Below are 11,970 nucleotides of genomic sequence, written 5' to 3' on the forward strand. Positions count from 1 at the left end.
AGAATGTATATTCTGTTGATTTGGGGTGGAGAGTTCTGTAGATGTCTATTACGTCCGCTTGGTGCAGAGCTGAGTTCAATTCCTGGATATCCTTGTTAACTTTCTGTCTCTTTGATCTGTCTAATGTTGACAGTGGGGTGTTAAATCTCCCATTATTATTGTGTGGGAGTCTGAGTTTCTTTGTAGGTCTCTAAGGACTTGCTTTATAAATCTGGGTGCTCCTGTATTGGGTGCATATATATTTAGGATAGTTAGTTTTCTTGTTGAATTGACCCTTTACCGTTACGTAATGGTCTTCTTTGTCTCTTTTGATCTTTGTTGGTTTAAAGTCTGTTTTATCAGAGACCAGGATTGCAATCCCTGCCTTTTTTTGTTTTCCATTTGCTTGGTAGATCTTCCTCCATCCCTTTATTTTGAGTCTATGTGTATCTCTGCACGTGAGATGGGTTTCCTGAATACAGCACACTGATAGGTCTTGACTCCTTATCCAATTTGTCAGTCTGTGTGTTTTAATGGGAACATTTAGCCCATTTACATTTAAGGTTAGTATTGTTATGTGTGAATTTGATCCTGTCATTATGATGTTAGCTGGTGATTTTGCTTGTTACTTGATGCAGTTTCTTCCTAGCATCGATGGTCTTTACAATTTGGCATGTTTTTGCAGTGGCTGGTACCAGTTGTTCCTTTCCATATTTAGTGCTTCCTTCAGGAGCTCTTGTATGGTAGGCCTGGTGGTCAAAAAATCTCTCAGCATTTGCTTGTCTATAAAGGATTTTATTTCTCCTTCACTTATGAAGCTTAGTTTGGCTGGATATGAAATTCTGGGTTGAAAATTCTTTTCTTTAAGAATGTTGAATATTGGCCCCCACTCTCTTCTGGCTTGTAGGGTTTCTGCCGAGAGATCCACTGTTAGTCTGATGGGCTTCCCTTTGTGGGTTACCTGACCTTTCTCTCTGGCTGCCCTTAACATTTTTTCATTCATTTCAACATTGGTCAATCTAACAAATTATGTGTCTTGGGATTGCTCTTCTTGAGGAGTATCTTTGTGGTGTTCTCTGTATTTCCTGAATTTGAATGTTGACCTGCCTTGCTAGATTGGGGAAGTTCTCCTGGATAATATCCTGCAGAGTGTTTTCCGAATTGGTTTCATTCTCCCCATCACTTTCTTTTTTTTTTTTTTTTTTCCTTTTTTTTTTTATTATACTTTAAGTTTTAGGGTACATGTGCACAATGTGCAGGTTAGTTACATATGTATACATGTGCCATGCTGGTGCGCTGCACCCACTAACTCGTCATCTAGCATTAGGTATATCTCCCAATGCTATCCATCCCCCCTCCCCCCACCCCACCACAGTCCCCAGAGTGTGATATTCCCCTTCCTGTGTCCATGTGATCTCGTTGTTCAAAGCCCACCTATGAGTGAGAATATGCGGTGTTTGGTTTTTTGTTCTTGCGATAGTTTACTGAGAATGATGATTTCCAATTTCATCCATGTCCCTACAAAGGACACGAACTCATCATTTTTTATGGCTGCATAGTATTCCATGGTGTATATGTGCCACATTTTCTTAATCCAGTCTATAATTGTTGGACATTTGGGTTGGTTCCAAGTCTTTGCTATTGTGAATAATGCTGCAATAAACATACGTGTGCATGTGTCTTTATAGCAGCATGATTTATAGTCATTTGGGTATATACCCAGTAATGGGATGGCTGGGTCAAATGGTATTTCTAGTTCTAGATCCCTGAGGAATCGCCACACTGACTTCCACAATGGTTGAACTAGTTTACAGTCCCACCAACAGTGTAAAAGTGTTCCTATTTCTCCACATCCTCTCCAGCACCTGTTGTTTCCTGACTTTTTAATGATTGCCATTCTAACTGGTGTGAGATGGTATCTCATTGTGGTTTTGATTTGCATTTCTCTGATGGCCAGTGATGGTGAGCATTTTTTCACGTGTTTTTTGGCTGCATAAATGTCTTCTTTTGAGAAGTGTCTGTTCATGTCCTTCGCCCACTTTTTGATGGGGTTGTTTGTTTTTTTCTTGTAAATTTGTTTGAGTTCATTGTAGATTCTGGATATTAGCCCTTTGGCAGATGAGTAGGTTGCGAAAATTTTCTCCCATTTTGTAGGTTGCCTGTTCACTCTGATGGTAATTTCTTTTGCTGTGCAGAAGCTCTTTAGTTTAATTAGATCCCATTTGTCAATTTTGGCTTTTGTTGCCATTGCTTTTGGTGTTTTGGACATGAAGTCCTTGCCCATGCCTATGTCCTGAATGGTAATGCCTAGGTTTTCTTCTAGGGTTTTTATGGTTTTAGGTCTAACGTTTAAATCTTTAATCCATCTTGAACTGATTTTTGTATAAGGTGTAAGGAAGGGATCCAGTTTCAGCTTTCTACAAGTGGCTAGCCAGTTTTCCCAGCACCATTTATTAAATAGGGAATCCTTTCCCCATTGCTTGTTTTTCTCAGGTTTGTCAAAGATCAGATAGTTGTAGATATGCGGCATTATTTCTGAGGGCTCTGCTCTGTTCCATTGATCTATATCTCTGTTTTGGTACCAGTACCATGCTGTTTCGGTTACTGTAGCCTTGTAGTATAGTTTGAAGTCAGGTAGCGTGATGCCTCCAGCTTTGTTCTTTTGGCTTAGGATTGACTTGGCGATGCGGGCTCTTTTTTGGTTCCATATGAACTTTAAAGTAGTTTTTTCCAATTCTGTGAAGAAAGTCATTGGTAGCTTGATGGGGATGGCATTGAATCTGTAAATTACCTTGGGCAGTATGGCCATTTTCACGATATTGATTCTTCCTACCCATGAGCATGGAATGTTCTTCCATTTGTTTGTATCCTCTTTTATTTCATTGAGCAGTGGTTTGTAGTTCTCCTTGAAGAGGTCCTTCACATCCCTTGTAAGTTGGATTCCTAGGTATTTTATTCTCTTTGAAGCAATTGTGAATGGGAGTTCACTCACGATTTGGCTCTCTGTTTGTCTGTTGTTGGTGTATAAGAATGCTTGTGATTTTTGTACATTGATTTTGTATCCTGAGACTTTGCTGAAGTTGCTTATCAGCTTAAGGAGATTTTGGGCTGAGACAATGGGGTTTTCTAGATATACAATCATGTCGTCTGCAAACAGGGACAATTTGACTTCCTCTTTTCCTAATTGAATACCCTTTATTTCCTTCTCCTGCCTAAATGCCCTGGCCAGAACTTCCAACACTATGTTGAATAGGAGTGGTGAGGGAGGGCATCCCTGTCTTGTGCCAGTTTTCAAAGGGAATGCTTCCAGTTTTTGCCCATTCAGTATGATATTGGCTGTGGGTTTGTCATAGATAGCTCTTATTATTTTGAAATACGTCCCATCAATACCTAATTTATTGAGAGTTTTTAGCATGAAGGGTTGTTGAATTTTGTCAAAGGCTTTTTCTGCATCCGTTGAGATAATCATGTGGTTTTTGTCTTTGGCTCTGTTTATATGCTGGATTACATTTATTGATTTGCGTATATTGAACCAGCCTTGCATCCCAGGGATGAAGCCCACTTGATCATGGTGGATAAGCTTTTTGATGTGCTTCTGGATTCATTTTGCCAGTATTTTATTGAGGATTTTTGCATCAATGTTCATCAAGGATATTGGTCTAAAATTCTCTTTTTTGGTTGTGTCTCTGCCCGGCTTTGGTATCAGAATGATGCTGGCCTCATAAAATGAGTTAGGGAGGATTCCCTCTTTTTCTATTGATTGGAATAGTTTCAGAAGGAATGGTACCAGTTCCTCCTTGTACCTCTGGTAGAATTCAGCTGTGAATCCATCTGGTCCTGGACTCTTTTTGGTTGGTAAACTATCGATTATTGACACAATTTCAGCTCCTGTTATTGGTCTATTCAGAGATTCAACTTCTTCCTGGTTTAGTCTTGGGAGAGTGTATGTGTTGAGGAATTTATCCATTTCTTCTAGATTTTCTAGTTTATTTGCGTAGAGGTGTTTGTAGTATTCTCTGATGGTAGCTTGTATTTCTGTGGGATCGGTGGTGATATCCCCTTTATCATTTTTTATTGTGTCTATTTGATTCTTCTCTCTTTTTTTCTTTATTAGTCTTGCTAGCGGTCTATCAATTTTGTTGATCCTTTCAAAAAACCAGCTCCTGGATTCATTGATTTTTTGAAGGGTTTTTTGTGTCTCTATTTCCTTCAGTTCTGCTCTGATTTTAGTTATTTCTTGCCTTCTGCTAGCTTTTGAATGTGTTTGCTCTTGCTTTTCTAGTTCTTTTAATTGTGATGTTAGGGTGTCAATTTTGGATCTTTCCTGCTTTCTCTTGTGGGCATTTAGTGCTATAAATTTCCCTCTACACACTGCTTTGAATGCGTCCCAGAGATTCTGGTATGTTGTGTCTTTGTTCTCGTTGGTTTCAAAGAACATCTTTATTTCTGCCTTCATTTCGTTATGTACCCAGTAGTCATTTCAGGAGCAGGTTGTTCAGTTTCCATGTAGTTGAGTGGCTTTGAGTGAGATTCTTAATCCTGAGTTCTAGTTTGATTGCACTGTGGTCTGAGAGATAGTTTGTTATAACTTCTGTTCTTTTACATTTGCTGAGGAGAGCTTTACTTCCAAGTATGTGATCAATTTTGGAATAGGTGTGGTGTGGTGCTGATAAAAATGTATATTCTGTTGATTTGGGGTGGAGAGTTCTGTAGATGTCTATTAGGTCCGTTTGGTGCAGAGCTGAGTTCAATTCCTGGGTATCCTTGTTGACTTTCTGTCTCGTTGATCTGTCTAATGTTGACAGTGGGGTGTTAAAGTCTCCCATTATTAATGTGTGGGAGTCTAAGTCTCTTTGTAGGTCACTCAGGACTTGCTTTATGAATCTGGGTGCTCCTGTATTGGGTGCATATATATTTAGGATAGTTAGCTCTTCTTGTTGAATTGACCCCTTTACCATTATGTAATGGCCTTCTTGGTCTCTTTTAATCTTTGTTGGTTTAAAGTCTGTTTTATCAGAGACTAGGATTGCAACCCCTGCCTTTTTTTGTTTTCCATTTGCTTGGTAGATCTTCCTCCATCCTTTTATTTTGAGCCTATGTGTGTCTCTGCACATGAGATGGGTTTCCTGAATACAGCACACTGATGGGTCTTGACTCTTTATCCAATTTGCCAGTCTGTGTCTTTTAATTGGAGCATTTAGTCCATTTACATTTAAAGTTAATATTGTTATGTGTGAATTTGATCCTGTCATTATGATGTTAGCTGGTGATTTTGCTCGTTAGTTGATGCAGTTTCTTCCTAGTCTCGATGGTCTTTACATTTTGGCATGATTTTGCAGCAGCTGGTACTGGTTGTTCCTTTCCATGTTTAGCGCTTCCTTCAGGAGCTCTTTTAGGGCAGGCCTGGTGGTGACAAAAACTCTCAGTATTTGCTTGTCTGTGAAGTATTTTATTTCTCCTTCACTTATGAAGCTTAGTTTGGCTGGATATGAAATTCTGGGTTGAAAATTCTTTTCTTTAAGAATGTTGAATATTGGCCCCCACTCTCTTCTGGCTTGTAGGGTTTCTGCCGAGAGATCCGCTGTTAGTCTGATGGGCTTCCCTTTGAGGGTAACCCGACCTTTCTCTCTGGCTGCCCTTAACATTTTTTCCTTCATTTCAACTTTGGTGAATCTGACAATTATGTGTCTTGGAGTTGCTCTTCTTGAGGATTACCTTTGTGGCGTTCTCTGTATTTCCTGAATCTGAACGTTGGCCTGCCTTGCTAGATTGGGGAAGTTCTCCTGGATAATATCCTGCAGAGTGTTTTCCAACTTGGTTCCATTCTCCCCATCACTTTCAGGTACACCAATCAGACGTAGATGTGGTCTTTTCACATAGTCCCATATTTCTTGGAGGCTTTGCTCATTTCTTTTTATTCTTTTTTCTCTAAACTTCCTTTCTCGCTTCATTTCATTCATTTCATCTTCCATTGCTGATAGCCTTTCTTCCAGTTGATCGCATCGGCTCCTGAGGCTTCTGCATTCTTCACGTAGTTCTCGAGCCTTGGTTTTCAGCTCCATCAGCTCCTTTAAGCACTTCTCTGTATTGGTTATTTTAGTTATACATTCTTCTAAATTTTTTTCAAAGTTTTCAACTTCTTTGCCTTTGGTTTGAATGTCCTCCCGTAGCTCAGAGTAATTTGATCGCCTGAAGCCTTCTTCTCTCAGCTCGTCAAAGTCATTCTCCATCCAGCTTTGTTCCGTTGCTGGTGAGGAACTGCATTCCTTTGGAGGAGAGGCGCTCTGCTTTTTAGAGTTTCCAGTTTTTCTGTTCTGTTTTTTCCCCATCTTTGTGGTTTTATCTACTTTTGGTCTTTGATGATGTTGATGATGATGATGGGTTTTCGGTGTGGATGTCCTTTCTGTTTGTTAGTTTTCCTTCTAACAGACAGGACCCTCAGCTGCAGGTCTGTTGGAATACCCTGCCGTGTGAGGTGTCAGTGTGCCCCTGCTTGGGGGTGCCTCCCAGTTAGGCTGCTCGGGGGTCAGGGGTCAGGGACCCACTTGAGGAGGCAGTCTGCCGGTTCTCAGATCTCCAGCTGCGTGCTGGGAGAACCACTGCTCTCTTCAAAGCTGTCAGACAGGGACACTTAAGTCTGCAGAGGTTACTGCTGTCTTTTTGTTTGTCTGTGCCCTGCCCCCAGAGGTGGAGCCTACAGAGGCAGGCAGGCCTCCTTGAGCTGTGGTGGGCTCCACCCAGTTCAAGCTTCCTGGCTGCTTTGTTTACCTAAGCAAGCCTGGGCAATGGCGGGCGCCCCTCCCCCAGCCTCGCTGCCGCCTTCCAGTTTGATCTCAGACTGCTGTGCTAGCAGTCAGTGAGATTCCGTGGGCGTAGGACCCTCCGAGCCATGTGTGGGATATAATCTCATGGTTCGCCGCTTTTAAGCCGGTCTGAAAAGCGCAATATTCGGGTGGGAGTGACCCGACTTTCCAGGTGCGTCCGTCACCCCTTTCTTTGACTCCCTGAAAGGGAACTCCCTGACCCCTCGCGCTTCCCAAGTGAGGCAATGCCTTGCCCTGCTTTGGCTCGCGCACGGTGCGCGCCCCCACTGGCCTGCGCCCACTGTCTGGCACTCCCTAGTGAGATAAACCCGGTACCTCAGATGGAAATGCAGAAATCACCCGTCTTCTGCGTCGCTCACGCTGGGAGCTGTAGACGGGAGCTGTTCCTATTCAGCCATCTTGGCTCCTCCCCCCTCCCCATCACTTTCAAGTACACCAATCAGACATAGATTTGGTCTTTTCACATAGTCCAGTATTTCTTGGAGGCTTTGCTCGTTTCTTTTTACTCTTTTTTCTCTAAACTTCTCTTCTTGCTTCATTTCATTCATTTGATCTTCCATCACTTACCCTTTCTTCCAGTTGATCAAATTGGCTACTGAAGCTTGTGCATTTGTCACGTAGTTCTCATGCCATAGTTTTCAGCTCCATCAGGTCATTTAAGGACTTCTCTACACTGGTTATTCTAGTTAGCCTTTTGTCTAATCTTTTTTCAAGGTTTTTAGCTTCTTTGCAATGGGTTCGAACTTCCTGCTTTAGCTCGGAGAAGTTTGATCATCTGAAGCCTTCTTCTCTCAACTCATCAAAGTCATTCTCCGTCCAGGTTTGTTCCATTGCTGGTGAGGAGCTGCATTCCTGTGGAGGGGGAGAGGTACTCTGATTTTTAGAATTTTCAGCTTTTCTGCTCTGTTTTTCCCCATCTTTGTGGTTTTATCTACCTTTGGTCTTTGATGATGGTGATATACAGACGGGGTTTTGGTGTGGATGTCCTTTCTGTTTGTTAGTTTTCCTTCTAACAGTCAGGACCCTCAGCTGCAGGTCTGTTGGAGTTTACTGGAGGTCCACTCCAGACCCTGCTTGCCTGCGTATCAGCAGCGGAGGCTGCAGAACAGCGAATATTGCTGAACAGCAAATGTTGCTGCCTGATTGTTCCTCTGGAAGCTTCGTCTCAGAGGGGTACCCGGCCGTGTAAGGTGTCAGTCTGCCCCTACTGGGGGGTGCCTCCCAGTTAGGCTACTCGGCGGTCAAGGACACACTTGAAGAGGCAGTCTGTCCGTTCTCAGATCTCAAACTCCATGCTGGGAGAACCACTACTCTCTCCAAAGCTGTCACACAGGGACATTTAAGTCTGCAGAGGTTTCTGGTGCCTTTTGTTCAGCTATGCCCTGCCCCCAGAGGTGGAGTCTACAGAGGCAGGCAGGCCTCCTTGAGCTGTGGTGGGCTCCACCCAGTTCAAGCTTCCAGGCCACTTTGTTTACCTACTCAAGCCTCAGCAATGGCGGGCGCCCCTCCCCCAGCCTCACTGCTGCCTTGCAGTTCGATATCAGACTGCTGTGCTAGCAATGAGCAAGGCTCCGTTGGTGTGGGACCCTCAGAGCCATGTGTGGGATATAATCTCTTGGTTTGCCATTTGCTAAGACCGTTGGAAAAGCCCAGTATTAGGGTGGGAGTGACCTGGTTTTCCCGGTGCTGTCTGTCACAGTTTCCCTTGGCTAGGAAAGGGAATTCCCTGACCCCTTGTGCTTCCTGGGTGAGGTGATGCCTATCCCTGCTTCGGCTGATGCTCGGTGGGCTGTACCCACTGTCCTGCACCCACTGTCTGACAAGCCCCAGTGAGATGAACCCGGTACCTCAGTTGAAAATGCAGAAATCACCCATCTTCTGTGTCGCTCACGCTGGGAGCTGTAGACTGGAGCTGTTCCTATTTGGCCATCTTGGAACCGCCCCCCAGAATTTTTTTAAGCATAAGTAATCTTAAATCCCATGGCCCCAGAATAAATATTCTTAATATTTTGGTATACATTTTTAAAAACTCTGTATATATACTTATATATAATTTCTATAAACTGAATTGCATTATATATTCTTTTTAGGATATACTTTTTTCCCACTTAACATTATATTATGTATTTTTTTCATGTCAATAAGTTATAGACCAATCTCGCCATATTTAATGGCTGCATAGTACTTCATTGATTGGATGTGCCATAGTTATTTAGTGAATCTCATATTAATGGAAATTAACATAGCATATATTATATTGATAGTGGATATCACATTGAGTAATATTCAACTGGAGAATAATATAAGTAATATTCTGATAAACATCTTTCTATATGTAGTTTTATAAAAGTCATTTGCCTATTTCCTTTTTAGCTCTTTAAGATAAATCTCTGGAAATGAAATTGCCATATAAAAGTGTGACAGTCAAATGCCCTCTGAAAACAGGGTTACTGGATAAACTTTCACTTTACATCCAGCTAAATAATAAATAATAAATAGCAATTAAAATTTTAGTATAAATATGTCCAATATAATACTTGGGACATAATTATAGTTTGGAAAGTATTTGTTGTTTATCTGAGATTCAAACTTGGCTGCATGTCTGTATTTTTATTTGCTAACTCTGGCAATCCTACTCCAAAAAGCAAGAAACAACTTGTACTGTTTATATACACCTTCACCAACTTTGGGTATTTCAATTCTTTTAATCTTTGCCAATCTGATCAAAGAATCTCATTTTAGTTTGCACCTCTTTGATTACTAGTAAGAATGAATATCAGGTGAGTTTGATCATATATGAATTCTATCTCAAATAACAGTTATTAAAAATGATTGAATTGAATATGATGAACCCAATCAAAAGCTGAAAGAAAATGATTGAAGATCTTTTCACATACTTAGCAACCATATTCTATTTTGAATTTATGGCTCACAATTCTTGGCTTATTTTTCTATTGGGTATACATTTAAAGTTTTTGACTTTTTAGATGTTTTTCAATGTAATAAACCTCTTTATCTAATTTGCAAATATTTTATCTCTGCTCTTATACTTATTTAATAGCATAGAAGTTTAAAACTTTTTTAATTAGTCAAATCCATCAGTCCTTTTATTTGTGATTTGAAGTTATAAAAACCTTTTTATAATATTCTGTGATTATAATAACCGTTTTCTTTTAGCATTTTTTTTTTCATTTTAAAGTTTACACTGTAGTCCCACCTGACCTGCAGTTCCTGGCATAAACTCTGATGTAGCACATACAACTGGCTACTTAACGCCTCCTCCTCAGTTTCTGATGGGCATCTCAGAGCTTGGTTGGCCAAATCTGAAGGATTTGTGTCCCCTCGTCTACGAATCTGCGCTTTCTCCCGTCTTCCTGGCCGTAAGAGATGGCACTGCTGTTTCCGCAGTTACTTGAGCCAAAAACCTATCCTTAGTCCTCCCTTTCCCTTACCTCCAACATGCAGTCCAGCAGCAAGGTCTGTCACTTCTACCTCCAAAACACATCCCAGATCCGTCCATACTGCTAATGCCTCCCAAGCCTAGGCTGACAGCGTCTCTTTCCTGGACTGCTGTAAAAGTCTTGTCACTGTGATCACTATTCCACTTCCTCCCTGCCACCCCCCACAATCCATTCTTTCCATAGCAGTCAGGGAGGTTTTTAAAAACTGCACACCAAAATTACATAACTCTCCTGCTTGAATCTCTATCATCACTTAGGAAATAAAATCTACAGTCCTCACTGCAGTCTTCAAGTCTCCACAATGCCCAGTGCCACTAATGCATCTCAGTCCCCAGGACTTCTCTTTTCCCTCTGGCTCCAGTGTTCTTCAAATACCTGCTTTGGGGCCCTCTGCTATTTTTCTGGCCTAAATCTTCACAAGGCCGTCTGGTTCTTTCCATTTTAGTGAAAATAATCACCTGCTCACCCGGCGCTCCCTGATCTACCTCTCTAAGGCAGCCTCCATCATTCCTCCTTCTCTTCTGTTTTATTAAGTGATACCCCTCACCATTATACACATTTTAAAAAAAAATTTATGTTGTCAGAATGTAAATCAAATGAAAAGACCTCATGAAGTGGTGGGACCCCGTTGGAGGGCTTTAAATACAGGCTGCCATGAGGGGATGGGCCAGGGGTCAGCCTGCAGCTTTCAAGGCCAAGGTCAAGTTCTGTGCTTTCTAGCTAAGTCAGAGTAGGCATTCCTCATCAAAGTTTAATTTTGCCTATTAGAAAAATGCTCACAAACAGCTGACTGCTGACTTCCTTGGAACGGGGACAGATGGGAAAACTAGGGTGGCGCACACAAGACTCAACGGGGAGGAAACCCTGCACTTCCTCCGTCTTTTTTTTTTTTTTTAAAGCATCAAACTTAGAAGGAAAAAAAACCCTATAAATATATATCTTCTCTTCAGAATTTCCTGCTTGCTCATAGCCGGCTCTCAGCAAGAGAAGCCAAGTTCTCCTAACCTCAGTGCATAAGGCCAATAGGCTGACAGCTGGATCTCAATATTTACATTCTGTTATCACATCTGTTGAGGAACCCCAGGCCTAAGTAGCTAAACTGAATTATTCTGGTTTTATCTCCCTACTACTAGGTTCTGAAAAAATACTTCCTCTTTTTGAAAGCACAGGTTTTGTGAAGGTCAACATCTGCCCTCTAGCCTGACCGCCCAAAATGCTATAAAGCTTTCTCAGCCCAAGAGTTAACCCTTTCCTACCTAGATCCACTGCTGTTCAGTGTATTTGAAGTGCACACTGATTGACACGACATGTTGGAAGCCAACGGTAAAACAACCTGCCATCCGTAAGGCACATCTCCAACATGTCAGTAAACAAGGAGAACAGACGTTAAGTGAACATGAGCATGAGTCAGCTGTCAGCAACTGCAAAAGGAAGACACCTTGAAGTCTGGAGGCCTGTCTGTGACTTAGATTTTGTAAGAAAGGAAGTGACAAGGGAAACTTTAAGATAGGCGGCTGACCACCCAGTGGAGACAGAGTGCTCCAGCTGCAATCCACAAACCATGAGAAAGTTGCCTGATACACACTTTCATTGGGGGGGAAAAAACACTCTTCACAACTGTAATCTCAGCATTTTGAGAGGCTGAGGCAGAAGGAGTGCTCGAACCCAGGAGTTCAAGACCAGCCTGGTCAACATAGGGAGAACCC

The 11,970-nt window shown here is 41.9% G+C and overlaps 3 annotated features.

Moving 5' to 3' along the window:
• Nucleotides 6,345–6,956: an enhancer, noted in NCBI's record as "H3K27ac-H3K4me1 hESC enhancer chr10:22417997-22418608 (GRCh37/hg19 assembly coordinates)". NCBI's record gives its function as "activates a minimal SCP1, AML or CMV promoter by ChIP-STARR-seq in naive H9 embryonic stem cells {active_cell/tissue: H9 hESC(naive)}" and the evidence as "EXISTENCE:reporter gene assay evidence [ECO:0000049][PMID:30033119]".
• Nucleotides 11,231–11,280: a silencer, noted in NCBI's record as "silent region_2200". NCBI's record gives its function as "represses an Ori minimal core promoter by ATAC-STARR-seq in GM12878 lymphoblastoid cells {active_cell/tissue: GM12878}" and the evidence as "EXISTENCE:reporter gene assay evidence [ECO:0000049][PMID:35858748]".
• Nucleotides 11,571–11,750: an enhancer, noted in NCBI's record as "active region_3127". NCBI's record gives its function as "activates an Ori minimal core promoter by ATAC-STARR-seq in GM12878 lymphoblastoid cells {active_cell/tissue: GM12878}" and the evidence as "EXISTENCE:reporter gene assay evidence [ECO:0000049][PMID:35858748]".

This window comes from Homo sapiens, chromosome 10 (genome assembly GCF_000001405.40).
Source record: "Homo sapiens chromosome 10, GRCh38.p14 Primary Assembly".
NCBI classification, from domain to species: domain Eukaryota; kingdom Metazoa; phylum Chordata; class Mammalia; order Primates; family Hominidae; genus Homo; species Homo sapiens.